Source organism: Homo sapiens, chromosome 6 (genome assembly GCF_000001405.40).
Source record: "Homo sapiens chromosome 6, GRCh38.p14 Primary Assembly".
Classification (NCBI taxonomy): domain Eukaryota; kingdom Metazoa; phylum Chordata; class Mammalia; order Primates; family Hominidae; genus Homo; species Homo sapiens.
Genome location: NC_000006.12, coordinates 96278715 through 96291583, shown reverse-complemented (window position 1 = coordinate 96291583; position 12869 = coordinate 96278715). Strand labels below are relative to the sequence as shown.

Sequence of the window (12869 nt, the reverse complement as noted above, 5' to 3'; positions counted from 1 at the left end):
TTCCCTCTTTTTCTGTCTTTTGAAATAGTAACAGTAGGACTGGTACCACTTCTTCTTTGAATGAATATTTGATAAAATTGAGCTGTGTATTCATCTGGACTTTTTATGTTGGCAATTTTTTTTATTACTGTTTCAATCATGCTACTTGTTATTGCTCTGTTCAGAGTTTCTATTTCTTTCTAATTTAATCTAGGAGGGTTGTATATTTCCAGAAATTTATCCATATCCTTTAGATTTTCTAGTTTGTGTGCATAAAGGTGTTCATAGTAGCCTTGAATGATCTTTTGTATTTCTGTGGTATTGATTGTAATATCTCCCATTTCATTTCTAATTGAGCTTATTTGGATTTTCTCTCTCCTTTTTTTTGGTTAATCTCACTAATGGTCTATCAGTTTTGTTTATCTTTTCAAAGAGCCTGCTTTATGTTTCATTTATCTTTTTTAAAAAAATTATTTAGTTTTGCTCTGATTTTTAAATTCCTTTTCTGCTTCCGGGTTTGGGTTGTTCTTCTTTCTCTAGTTCCTTGAGGTGTGACATTAGATTGTCTATTTGTGCTCTTTTAGGTGTTTTAGTGCAGGCATTTAATGCTATGAACTTTCGTCTTAGCACTGCTTTTGCTGTATCTCAGAGGTTTTGATAACTTTTGTTGCTATATTTTTCAGTTCAAATAATTTTTGAATTTCCATTTTGATTTAATATTGACCCAGACATCACTCAAGAGCAGATTATTTAATGTTCATGTATTTGTGTAATTGTGAGAGTTCTTTTTCAGTCAATTTCCAGTTTTAGTTCATTGTGGTCTTAGAGGATGCTTGATATGATTTTGATTTTTTAAAATTTATTGAGACCTGTTTTGTGGCCTGTTATATGCTCTATCTTGGAAAATGTTTCATGTGCTAATGAGAAGAATGTGTTTTCTGAAGTTCTTGCATAGAATATTCTGTAAATATCTGTTAGGTCCATTTGTTCTAGAGCATAGCTGAAGTCATTATTTCTTTGCTGACTTTCTGTCTCAATAACTTTCTAGTGCTGTCAGTGGAGAGTTGAATCACTGGCTATTATTGTGTTACTTTCTATCTCATTTATTAGGGCTCATAGCAATTGTTTTATAAATTTGGGAGCTCCAGTGTTAGGAGCATATAAATTCAAGATGGTAATATCTTCTTAGTGGATTGATTCTTTTATCATTATACAGAGGCCTTCTTTGCCTTTTTTTTCTGCTGTTGCTTTAAAGTGCATTTTATCTGATATGAGAATATCTACACCTGCTAGCTTATCGTTTCCATTTGCATGGAATATCTTTTCATATCACTTTACTTTTAGTTTATATGAATCTTTACATGTTAGGTGAGTCTCTTGAAGACAACAGATATTTGGTATGTGTTTTTAAAAATCCATTCGGCTAATCTATCTTTTAAGTGGGGCATTTAGGCCATTTACATTCAATTTTCATACTGAGAAGTGAGTTACTGTTTCAGTCATTATCTTAATCATTACCTAGACACTTTGTTTTCTTTATTGTGTTATTGTTTATAGGCCCTGTGAGTTTATGCTTTCAAGAGTTTCTATTCAGGTGAATATCTTAAGTTTCAGGATTTAGAACTCCTTTTTAGCATTTTCTTAGGGCTGATCTAGTAGTGGCAAATACCCCCCCAGCATTTATTTGTCTGAAAAGTGGGTTTATCGCTTCTTCATTTAGGAGAATTAGTTTTGCTGGACCCAAAATTCTTGGCTGACACTAATTCTGTTTAAGGAGGCTAAAGATATGACCACAATTCCTACTGGCTTATAAGGTTTCTTGTGAGAAATCCACCATTAGTCTGATAAGTTTTCCTTTAATGGTTACCTGGTGCTTTTGTCTCACTGCTCTCAGAATTCTTTCCTTTACATTGACTTTAGATATCCTGACGACTATATTCATTGGTGAAGTCTTTTTTGTGATGAATCTCCCAGGAGTTCGAGCTTCTTGTATTTGGATATCTAAATCTCTAGCAAGGCCAGTGAAGATTTCCTCAATTATTCCCTCAAATAAATTTTACCAAATTTCGCTTTCTCTTCTCCTCTCAGGAACCACCACTTATTCTTAGGTATGGAAGTTTTACATAATCCCATATTTCTTGGAGACTTTGTTTAATTCTTTTTATTCTTTTTTCTTTATTTTTGTCTGACTGAGTTAATTCAAAAGCCATGTCTTAAAGCTCTGAATTTTTTCTTCTACATGTTCTAGTCTATTGTTGAAACTTTTCACTGCATTTTGTAATTCCCTAAATGTGTCTTTTATTTTCAAAAGTTCTACTTGGTTTTTCTTTAAAATATCTAATTAGAAAATTTTTCATTCATATCTTGAATTTTTTAAAATTTCTTTATGTTGGTTTCCTCTTTTCTCTGGTACCTCCTTGAGTAGTTTCATAATCAACCTTTTGAATTCTTTGTCTTGTGTCAAAGGTTTCATCCATTGCTGGAAAGCTAGTGTGATCTTTTTGGGGTAGCATAGAACTCTGTTTTGTCAGATTAGCAGAATTATTTTTCTGGGTCCTAATCACTTGGGTAAACTATTTCTTCCAATTATTCTTGAATTTATTTTTTATTTGACTGTGTTTTTTTCCCCTTTAAGGATGTACATTTAATTTTTAGTTTATTGTAGCTTAATTCAGTTTTTGATGTTTTCGGGGTGATGACTGTATGAATTTCTTGATTATAGAGAGTCTTTGTTTGATGGCTTTCTCAGATACTGGTTGTAGTAGCAATATGTTCAGTGTGTGAGCAAGTTCACTGTCTCCTATGCGGTTGAAATGACAGATGTCTCCTGAAGCTTACCTCATTCCCCTGTGGTTTGCACTGTATTTATTTATTTATTTATTTATTTATTTATTTTCCCCCAGTATTTTGTTTACTGGGTTGAATAGTTCAGGCTTCAGGAAAGTAAGGGAGGTATCTCTGGGTAGAAACCATTTGTGGCTAATGTAGGTGGATAAATGCAATATCCCATATTGGGCAGAGATCCCAGCCTTAACAGAGGTGGATGAAGGAGCTCTCAGTGAAATGCACTGAAGTCTTATCAGGGTTGAGGATGACAGCTACCTCAGCTACTCTTCCAGGCCAGTGGAAAAGTGATCCACTGCTCAGACAGACTCCTACCCCAGTGTTCTGGCTATTCAGATCAGACAGGCACCACTTTTCATATGCAGGAATATTGATGTTCCAAGTAGGGAGGAATTATGATTCTACTCTTTATGCAAACCTGAACCTGGAGAGTGCTTCATCTTTGGGGTTGAAGTCACCCTGAAGTGTTCCAAAATGGCTGTCTATAGGTACCTCCACCCCAAGTTCCTGTGGGAGATGCCCCAGTTGTTTCTGCAGTGGTGAAAAAGGGGGACAAGAATTTCCATTCTCCAAGACCCTTCACAAGCGCCAGGGCTACCTGTCTGTTGATGCAGAGCTGCAGACTTTCCCAACTGAGCCCGGAACAGCAAATGTGCCTCTGCTGAAAGAAACATCCCACCAGTGGAATAATCTGAGATCCAAGAGTTGCCATCTGGATTCTTTTGTCCCATGGCATGTTCTCTTGATATGGTGTTCTCCTTTCCCTAAGAGTAAGAGACCCTGAGAGCCAGACTACTGTGAATGCTGTTGCTTCTCTGGTTCTAGCTGCCCAGCTGAGCTGCCACACTCCAGGCTGTTGCTGGGGAATGTCTGCAAGGGATCCCGTGATGTGACCTGTCCTCAAGTCTCCCAGCAGGACCTATTTTGATAAGGGTGGCAGGGTAGTGATGTAGACTCTGAGATTCCTTGGTTATAAATAGCCTTAATGTGTTGGGCTTTCTCAAATGCCAGTTGTAGTAGTAATAAACTGGTCAGGACCTCCTGGTTACCCAAGGTAGTGCAGGCAATGGTGATAGCTGAGGTTGTCCACAAGTTTTCACATTCCTGGATGCAGATTATTCTGCCTGTAGATGCTGTGATGAACTGTGTCAGTTCTCCTTCAGTCAGGAGGTGGGACTTGCAAAAGAGTACTAGCTGCAGTAGTAGTGGTGGGATTCATGTGTTTGCCTTATGTTACCCATGGGAGATACTCCAGTTTCTCAAGTGATGGGTGGGACCATTGGGCTCCCAAAAGTTTCTGTCCTTTGTGTTAAGCTACCAGGGTAGGTTGAAAGGCAAAGCCAGGTTGGGGCTGAGCCAGTCAGGTCTGAGTTCTGGCTCTCTACATGCAGGGCAAGCAGAGGCCCCTGTGGGAATTGAGGGATAGTTCTCTGGCCTCTAGGGTAATGTTCTAGGAAGCGGTGTAGCTGCCTCTGCAGCAAAGAACAGTTTGTGCAGGGAGTGGGAAATAGCAGGTGGCAGTAAGCCTCACCCATATCCCATGCACTTGGCAAGGCAGGTTTCTCATGAAAGTGTTACAGTGTTTGCTAGGAGCAGCTAGCTAAATTCCAGGTAGTCTACATTCAGAACTCAGGATGACCCCAGGCCATATGCTTTCTCCATAGAGACAGGAACCATTGCTTTCAGGTCATGCCCCTCCCTGTCTGCCCAGACAGCCAGGGTTCCCAGCTCCTGTGCCCACGGTTGCAGCAACTTCCCACTCACCCCCTGGTTCTGACTAAGGGAGTTCATTCCTACTCAAGATTATATTATGAATTTCAGTTGGGAGCTTCTTTTCACCTACCATCATTCCCTGAGGTAGTTGGCTAACTTCTGCGAGGTGCCTTGTGATGTAGAATCAGGAATGGCTTCCCTCAATCTGCACTGGAGACTGGGAAGGCATGCAAGGCTCTTCCTGCTGTCCCTCCTACTTTTGGATTCCCCACCACTTCCTATATCAGTTTCAGCACTGAGTAGGGTTAAGACCTTCCCCCATGGGCTGAATTGTTATGTTCCCCAGTAGGAGGCAGTCTCCCCATTTCTCACATGCTAGGGACTTACAATTTTTTGCCTGGCTCATGGTGTAGGCTGCACCCTGTTGCTTCTTTCAAAGGGTCTGTGTTTTCTTTCAATTTTCCTGTTAAGTTCCTTCATTGCTTCTTGGAAAAAAGTTCATAGTGTGAATTTCTGGTCACTATTTTGTCTTTCCAAGTTGGAGAGGCATGTTAACATTGCCTCCAATTTGCCATCTTGGAAAACACACACACACACACACACACACACACACACCCAGAGAGTGAGACTCTTTTAGTACACACACACACACACACACACACACACACACACACAAGCAGTGAGACTCTCTTAATACCCTTTTTACCTGGTCTAGAGGAATGTCATAAAATGAAGAAACACTAAAGCAGTCTCTAAACCTGCCTATTTCCTTCAAAGATCTTCTCTTATCAATAAATTATCAGATGTGTGATGGGTGATTCTCTAAAGGTTTCTTGGGTTTTTGACACCTCAGATTTATATTATTATTTATATAATTTCATATTATAAGAAGTCATATAATTTTGCTGAAACTAAGTTGCTGTAAGCAACATAAATATGGTACTGATGATTAATGCAATAATTGTTTTGATTTTTACTTTATCTATATTTTATACCTATTCAATTCTCCCATTTCTTTTCTCTATATAAACTGCTAGGTATCCTGATGTTTTTGGCCATTAAATAAACTGACATGGTTCTCTTATTATTGGCTCCAAAAATTAAAATAATAGTTTTTGGCCTTTACATGATTGAAAACACAACTGTAATTTAAGATTTTTCAATTCCAAGGCCATTATAATGTGCTCATTCATATGGTTAAGAATTTTTTTATTTTCAAATTATCATTGAATTATAGATGTGTAATATGTAGATAAACCCTAATTTTAGAAGCATTGATATAAACCAAGTAATTTTATGTTATTTCAAATATATAGTCACAATGATTCTAGGAGTATAAAAGATTTCCTTGTGATTGGTCTTTTATATGGTTGAGGATGATCTGATGTTGTCAAAATCAAATTGGACCTTTAAAAGTACTAGATCTATATGTTTTTTATAGGAAGCTATCATTTACCAACACTTTTTCTTAAAAATGGTATAGAAAACTTGCCGGTAGATATATGTGATATGTGCTATTTTTGTCTGCTAGACATATTTATAAAAGGAACATGTTGGAGTTCAGAAGCCAATATCCCAAAATATGGCATTTTAACATGCTGAACAGAAGAAGAAATCTCAAGGTCTCTTTGATCTTCCCCTCCTCCCCACCGTCTTTCCCAAAGAGCTGAAGTTCCTTTATTTTCTTAAAATCCAGACCTATTAAAGAAAAAATACTTTTCTTATCTTCCCTATAAGATCAAAGTGGTAGCCACACCTCAACAGATCTTTTTTCAAAATAATGATCATCTCCAAATATCAATTGTTTAAATTCCAAAGAGAACTATTTACAAGTTCCCTGATCTAATCATTTTCACCAATAATCACTTATTGCCCCTCAATAGAATTCTTCTTCTCTCTCTGTCAATAGAACTCCTATTTTCCCCCTCCCATAACCTGTTTTACCAGAATCCAAGACCCCATTCTTTCTGTAACTGCAAGATGGTATTATTATATAAGCTTCAGTAACCTTATCAGAAAGTTGGGTATTCATTTTGAAGACTCCTGTGTATACAAGTTGAATGAATTTTTATGTTTTTTCTCGTGTTAATCAGTCTGCCACATGTCACTGATTTTCAGTGAACATTTAGGGGTCTAAGAGCCTATGTTTCCCACATAAATCTTCAAACTCCATACTTGGGTTAGAAACAGAAGGTGAGCTTAGTTATCACTGGGTATCTTATCACAGTGTCCAGAAGTTTTTAAAAATGTTCTTGAAATATTTTCATATATTGTTAAAGTCAATAAAGTGGCTGACCCTAGAGTGTGTCTTTCCAACTCCCACATACTTGTAGAAGTATGTGGAAGAAAAGAAAAGAAAAAGAGGTAAAAACAACCTCCATGTCTCCTGGCTGTTGCTACTTTATCAGTTGTTGCTCTCAAATGCTCTGGCACCAGATGAAGATTTAGCTGAGTATATCAAGGTTTCCTGGGACCATATTTTCCATTTCACTGTATTCTTCACAGTTTCACACATTGATGCATATGTAGAAGTCTAGTAGACTCATGATGTTCAGATAAATGCTAAATATGGCTCATCAAGTTACTGAGAGAATAAGAAGGGAATTTTCTGTGAAATCCTGGTTCAAATTTTGGGGAGTGTAATAAATAAACAATGAAAAGAATACTGAATAATCTCAATTGAATTTATTATTTGTTTTTCTGAACCTCACATGGAGAAGTTTGTCCAGAAGAGATAATTTTATAATTTATTCAAACCAATAGGTAATCACAGGTTTCTCTCTCAGTGACATAACTCAGGGTATAGGATCTTTTGATTTAAATCTCTTGGACTATACACCAAGGTGCCATAGCGTTTTAGTTGCAATCTGCAATCTTGATTTTGACAGTCTGTGATTTGTAACCATGCTGTGCAGGATGCAATAACATTGTCTACCTCTTATCTTCAAGGGTGCAAAGAGAGAAAATGACTGTTTACTAGTATGTTGACCTCAAGAACTTGTAAATATTTTAATAATACCATCACCATCAAAATTTCCAGGAAATACCTTGTGTATTTGCTGTAGTGTATTTCCTGTTTTTCCTAGCTGGAAATTTAGAAATAAGCTCTACCAGGAATAAGAGTTTAGCTCTTTTTAAAATTTTAATCTGCTTATTACTACTTAAAAATAAATTGCATTTGTACTATTTTCAGATAGGAAATTTTAGTAAGAAAATTGTTTTAAATAGTTCCTTATTAAGGTTAGCATTTGCAAATTTCCCCTGATTTATATTTGCACTTGAAAATGATCATGAAGAAATATTTAGATACATCTGGCAATAAAAAATTTATGTAATAGCAGGCCAATGAAACTCATTAGCTTCCAAAATGATGTATATGTTATTTATATAAAAGCTAGGAATTATGTTTGATTTTAAAATCTTCATTTAGATCAATAATTAGGCAGTTTTAGGAATTAACTGATTCATGGAATAAGGCATCATTACTTTGCAGTTTCGAACAGGAGGTGTAATTCAATTACTATAAGGCAAATGTTTGGCTAATCTGAGCTTGCTTTTTTATATAAAATCAATACTCACTATCATATCAATTTTCCAAAGTAAACTATCAAGATATATATTGCATGCTATGTCTATACTATGCACTGTAAACATAAAGGAAAACTATCATTGAAATGAGAGTTATATAAGTAAAATGAGTATTGTTAAGCCAGTAGATAAAAATAACTGAATCACATAAAGCCACTAATCAAAATCAAAGGAGAAAAACATTCTTAGCATTATTCTGATTTTTTTCTTGGTAATTGGTTTTCTTTCTTCATACCTTTGGAATTAGAGGAGACCTTTTAATGGAAGAAAAAAGACACACTGTGGAAATGAAAACTTGACAGACTCACAGGATTAACACCCGGTTTCCTTTCCAGATTTGTTAATGATAGACTTGCTCACAATGCCCCTAACTCTAGGAAATATTATTAGTTGGCAACCCACATTTAGTGTTCATTGTATTTGCATCAGATCATGTATATCTATCTGACTTGTTTCTCTTTTTTGCATTTTCCTTTTTATGTCAGTTTGAAATATTACCATTGGATGGCAAATGCTGAAATAAAAGTTATTTTTCCTTAGCCTTTTAAAAGCTAGAAAAACGTTCTTTATTTATTTATTAGTATTTTATTTTTTTCAGAGACTTCGTTAACTATGTTGCCCAGGCTGGAGTGCAGTGGCTATTCACAGGCACAATCCTACTACTGATCAGCAATGAAGTTTTGACCTACTCCATTTCTGACTAGGGCTGGTTCACCCCTCTTTAGGCAACCTGGTGGTTCCCTGCTGCCAGGAGGTCACCATATTGATGCCAAACTTAGTGTAGACACCCGATCAGCATAGCTCACTACAGCTCAGAACACCTAGGCTTGAGCAATCCTCCTGCCTCAGCCTCCTGAGTAGCTGGGACTAAAGGCATACACCACTGCACTGGTGCTAGAGAAACTTTAAAATAAGGGTAGGAAAAGTTCAGATATTCAGAACAGTGGAACAGAAATGTCTTTTTACAAGTAATCTGGTTAACTCCTTTGGCTCTAGTATAAAACTTTTCCTCAATTATTCCTGAAAGATAACAGTGAACCCTTCATGTATGAGTCCAGGAGGAAATACCACAATTCTCTCAAGTATTAGAATGCCTTTTATTTCACTTCTCAAATTAAATCTCTTATTATTGGCTGGGCATGGTGGCTCACACCTGTAATCCCAGCACTTTGGGAGGCCAAGGTGGGCGGATCACAAGGTCAGGAGTTCAAGACCAGCCTGGCCAATATGGTGGAACCCCGTCTCAACTAAAGATACAAAAAAAATATTATCTGGGTGTGGTGGTGGGCGCCTGTAGTCCCAGCTACTCAGGAGGCTGAGGGAGGAGAATCACTTGAACCCGGGAGGTGGAGATCTTGCCACTGCACTTCAGCGTGGGTGACAGACTGAGACTCCGTCTCAAAAAAAAAAAAAAACGTATTATTATTGTATCGCTACTGTAAGGTGTGATACTTTTCCTCACTCACCATAAGAGGCATGGTTGACACTCCTGTAACAAAAAATAGGTTAACAAGAAAAAAGCATAACAAATGTATTTTTGAAGGTTTTATGTAATATGGGAGCCTTCAGACATGAAGAATGAAAGACTCAGGAAAAACAGTCAATTTTTATGCTTGGGTTTGTTGAAGAATGGACAGCCTTGCAGAAATGTGACTGGACTAAAAGGTAAAAGCTAATGGTAATAAACTGAGAGGGGAAACCCAGCAAGGTCTATTCAGATTTCTCTCGTCCTCTCTGGGTACCATTCATTCCTCCCAGGTTTGGGGAAGGACCCTTCTGGAGAGAGAGTCTTCAAGGGAGAAAAGAGAAAGAAGAGGGTGACTTTTGTGTGTGTGTGTGTGTGTTGTTTTATGGTTTGCTTTGGGGCAAATGGATTCAAGTTTCTATGACCAAACTTGGGGAAGAGAAATTCTGCTTTCTATGACTTGGTTGAGGGCATAGATCATTTTGGTACTGCCTAACCATGTTAAAGTTTTTTTTTTTTTTAAATAGCCACTATATTTGTCTCATATATCTACCAAATATTGCTACCAGCTTATAGTTTGCACATTAATTTTATAAATGGTGTCTTTGAGATAATTTTACTTCTTGTAGTGAAACTATCATTTTTTCTCTTTTTTAATTATTATTTGATTTTTATAACTTTTTTGTATCATGGCTATGCATCTTTAGAGTGTGATTTGGGAACCATGCACATTTTTTATTCTCTAATAATTTGCAAAGTAGGGAAATGATCTCTTCCAAGGAAGTTTGCACTATTGGCCGTTTGGAATTGCTTGTTTATGACAACTTTCTTGGAATTTAGCTTCTGACAATTTTTTCAAAATCACCCAATACTATTATTGTTAGGATTAGGATTCATCTACTTTGAGTAGTTTTCTTTTCCAGAATATCGTCTACTTTATTGAAATTTTATAATTTACTAACATAAAATTGTGCCTATTATTTTAATTTCCTTTGGTATCCTCCTTTTTATTTCTTAACAAGTTTTTCCATCTTCTCTCTCTTTTTTTTTAAACTCTAATAGCTTGTGGTTTACTTAGTTCATAAAATTCTTCAAGTTTTTTGTTTTATTACATAATGTGAAAGTCTTCATTTCTTAGGTTCTCTGATTGTCAGGAACACCTTGTATACCAGGGAAGGCATGTTTCCTTGTCTTTTAGAGAATTTAACATTTTATCTTCAATGTATAGAGGAGTATAGTAGATTCTCAATAAATGCCCCTGAATAGGTTTTTAGAAAGTGGAGATCAAGGTGGGGGCACAGAGGGGAAGAAAATAGAGTAAATATGAAAAGCATACATTTAAGGAAAATGAATACAGAGAGAATTGAGAAAATATTATTATATTCATAAGAATTTATTCTCTGCTTTATATCGTAAATTACACCACTTTTAGCTTAGGGATTATAGATACTGCAGATTCTCAAGTGTGTGTCTGTTTATTCACTGCTATAAAGAACTACCTGAGACTGAGTAATGTATGAAAAAAGAGGTTTAATTGATTCACAGTTCTTCATGCTTAACAGGAACGTGACTGGGAGGCCTTAGGAAAATTACAATCATGGCAGAAGGGCAAAGGGGATGCAAGCATGTCTTACAATGGTAGAGCAAGAGAGAGAGAGCACAAAGGGAAAGTGCCATACACTTTCAAACAACTCTTGTGAGAACTCACTAACACAGAAACAGCAAGGGGGAAGTGTGCCCCTATGATTCAATCACCTCCTGCAGGCCCCTCCAGTGACATGTGGCGATTACAATTCGAGATGAGATTTGGTTGGGGACACAGAGCCAAATCATATCAATCTGTATTCGTCTGTTCTCACACTGCTATTAAGTACTATCTGAGACTGGGAAATTTATGAATGAAAAGAGGTTTAATTGACTCACAGCTCTACAGGCTGTACAGCAGGCATGGCTAGGGAGGCCTCAAGGAACATACAATCATGGAGGAAGGTGGAGGGGAAGCAAGAAGCTTCTTCCCATGGTGACAGGAAAGAGAGAGCAAAGGAGGAAGTGCCGTACACTTTTAAAACATCAGACCTCATGAAAGCTCACCCAGTATTATGAGAACAGCAGAGGGTGTATTCACCCCATGATCCAAACACCTCCCACCAGGTCCCTCCCCCAACACTGGGAATAACAATTCAACGTGAGATTTGGGTGAGGAGACAGAGCCAAACCATATCAGGGTCTGAGGCCTAATTGCTGGAAATGGAGGAAAGTATGCTAAAGTCATCTGACCAGAAGCTGTCTTAATTTCTTTGCACTGTGATTATTTTGTTTGGGATTGAAACATTCCCTGTCCCTGCATGCATCATATGTATGTTATCTTGTCATCCTGCACTATGAGCATCTGATTTGAAGGTATATGGGGTCGCTTCATACAATTCCATCACTTTGTGGAACAACAGCAAGATGTCTGGCAATAGTTTTTGGACAATTAGATATGGTCAACTTAAGATATTGTAAGAGGCTGAAGTTTGATTTAGTTTTGTGAAGGAAAACATGTATATCTTGTAAAGGATTTCTTAAATTTACTCTCAAGAGATTAATCTCATTTCATATTCTTCCTTGAGCCACTTAAATTTATTCTATATACCACAGGACCTTTACCAGAAGCATTGGTAACCATGGCTTTCTTTTTTCTGGTGGCCATATGTTTTCTTATCTTGTAAGTTATTAGCTCTATCCAGTGAATCAGGGAGAACACAGAAGTGCATTCAATTAATTTCTTAGCTCAAAGGCATCAATCTGCAGTTTCTTACTTCCATTACATATGTCGGCAGTGCCTTTTATGAAGGCTGACTGCTATTTCTGAGACAGCACAAATTTAACCTGAACTCTTGGACAGGTTTTCTTGATGACATGGTTGATTTCCAAAAGGATTTTATTTTGATCAAGAACATGATTTTGAGGAATGGTAGAAGAGGTATTTTGGAGTAGATTTACTTTACAAACTCTTTCAAAATCTATTTTTATTTCAGTCTAAATTTCAAAGCAAATGCCACTTTACATAGTAACAGAACTCTTCCAGTGTGTAAAACATTTTTGTGATTAACGTTCTTAAATTATGATTAATTCAACTTACATTGTTGATTACATACTATATGCCAGATACTACACTAGACATTGAAGTTCCAAAATAAAATATGTGCTCTTGCTTCAGAGATGAGAGTGTGTATAGTAGGGTGGTTGATTATCAAACCAGCATAATAAAATAAGGTACACGTTTTGTGTTGCTATG

General features: G+C 36.8%; 1 long non-coding RNA gene and 1 pseudogene across 1 annotated transcript in view; one reads left to right on the top strand and one right to left on the bottom strand.

The window, feature by feature from the left end:
• Positions 1-12869, top strand: part of UFL1-AS1 (UFL1 antisense RNA 1) — a 321372-nt gene that overhangs the window by 230131 nt on the left and 78372 nt on the right. The gene's annotated exons all lie outside the window — the stretch shown is intronic.
• Positions 8721-9011, bottom strand: RN7SL797P (RNA, 7SL, cytoplasmic 797, pseudogene; annotated as a pseudogene).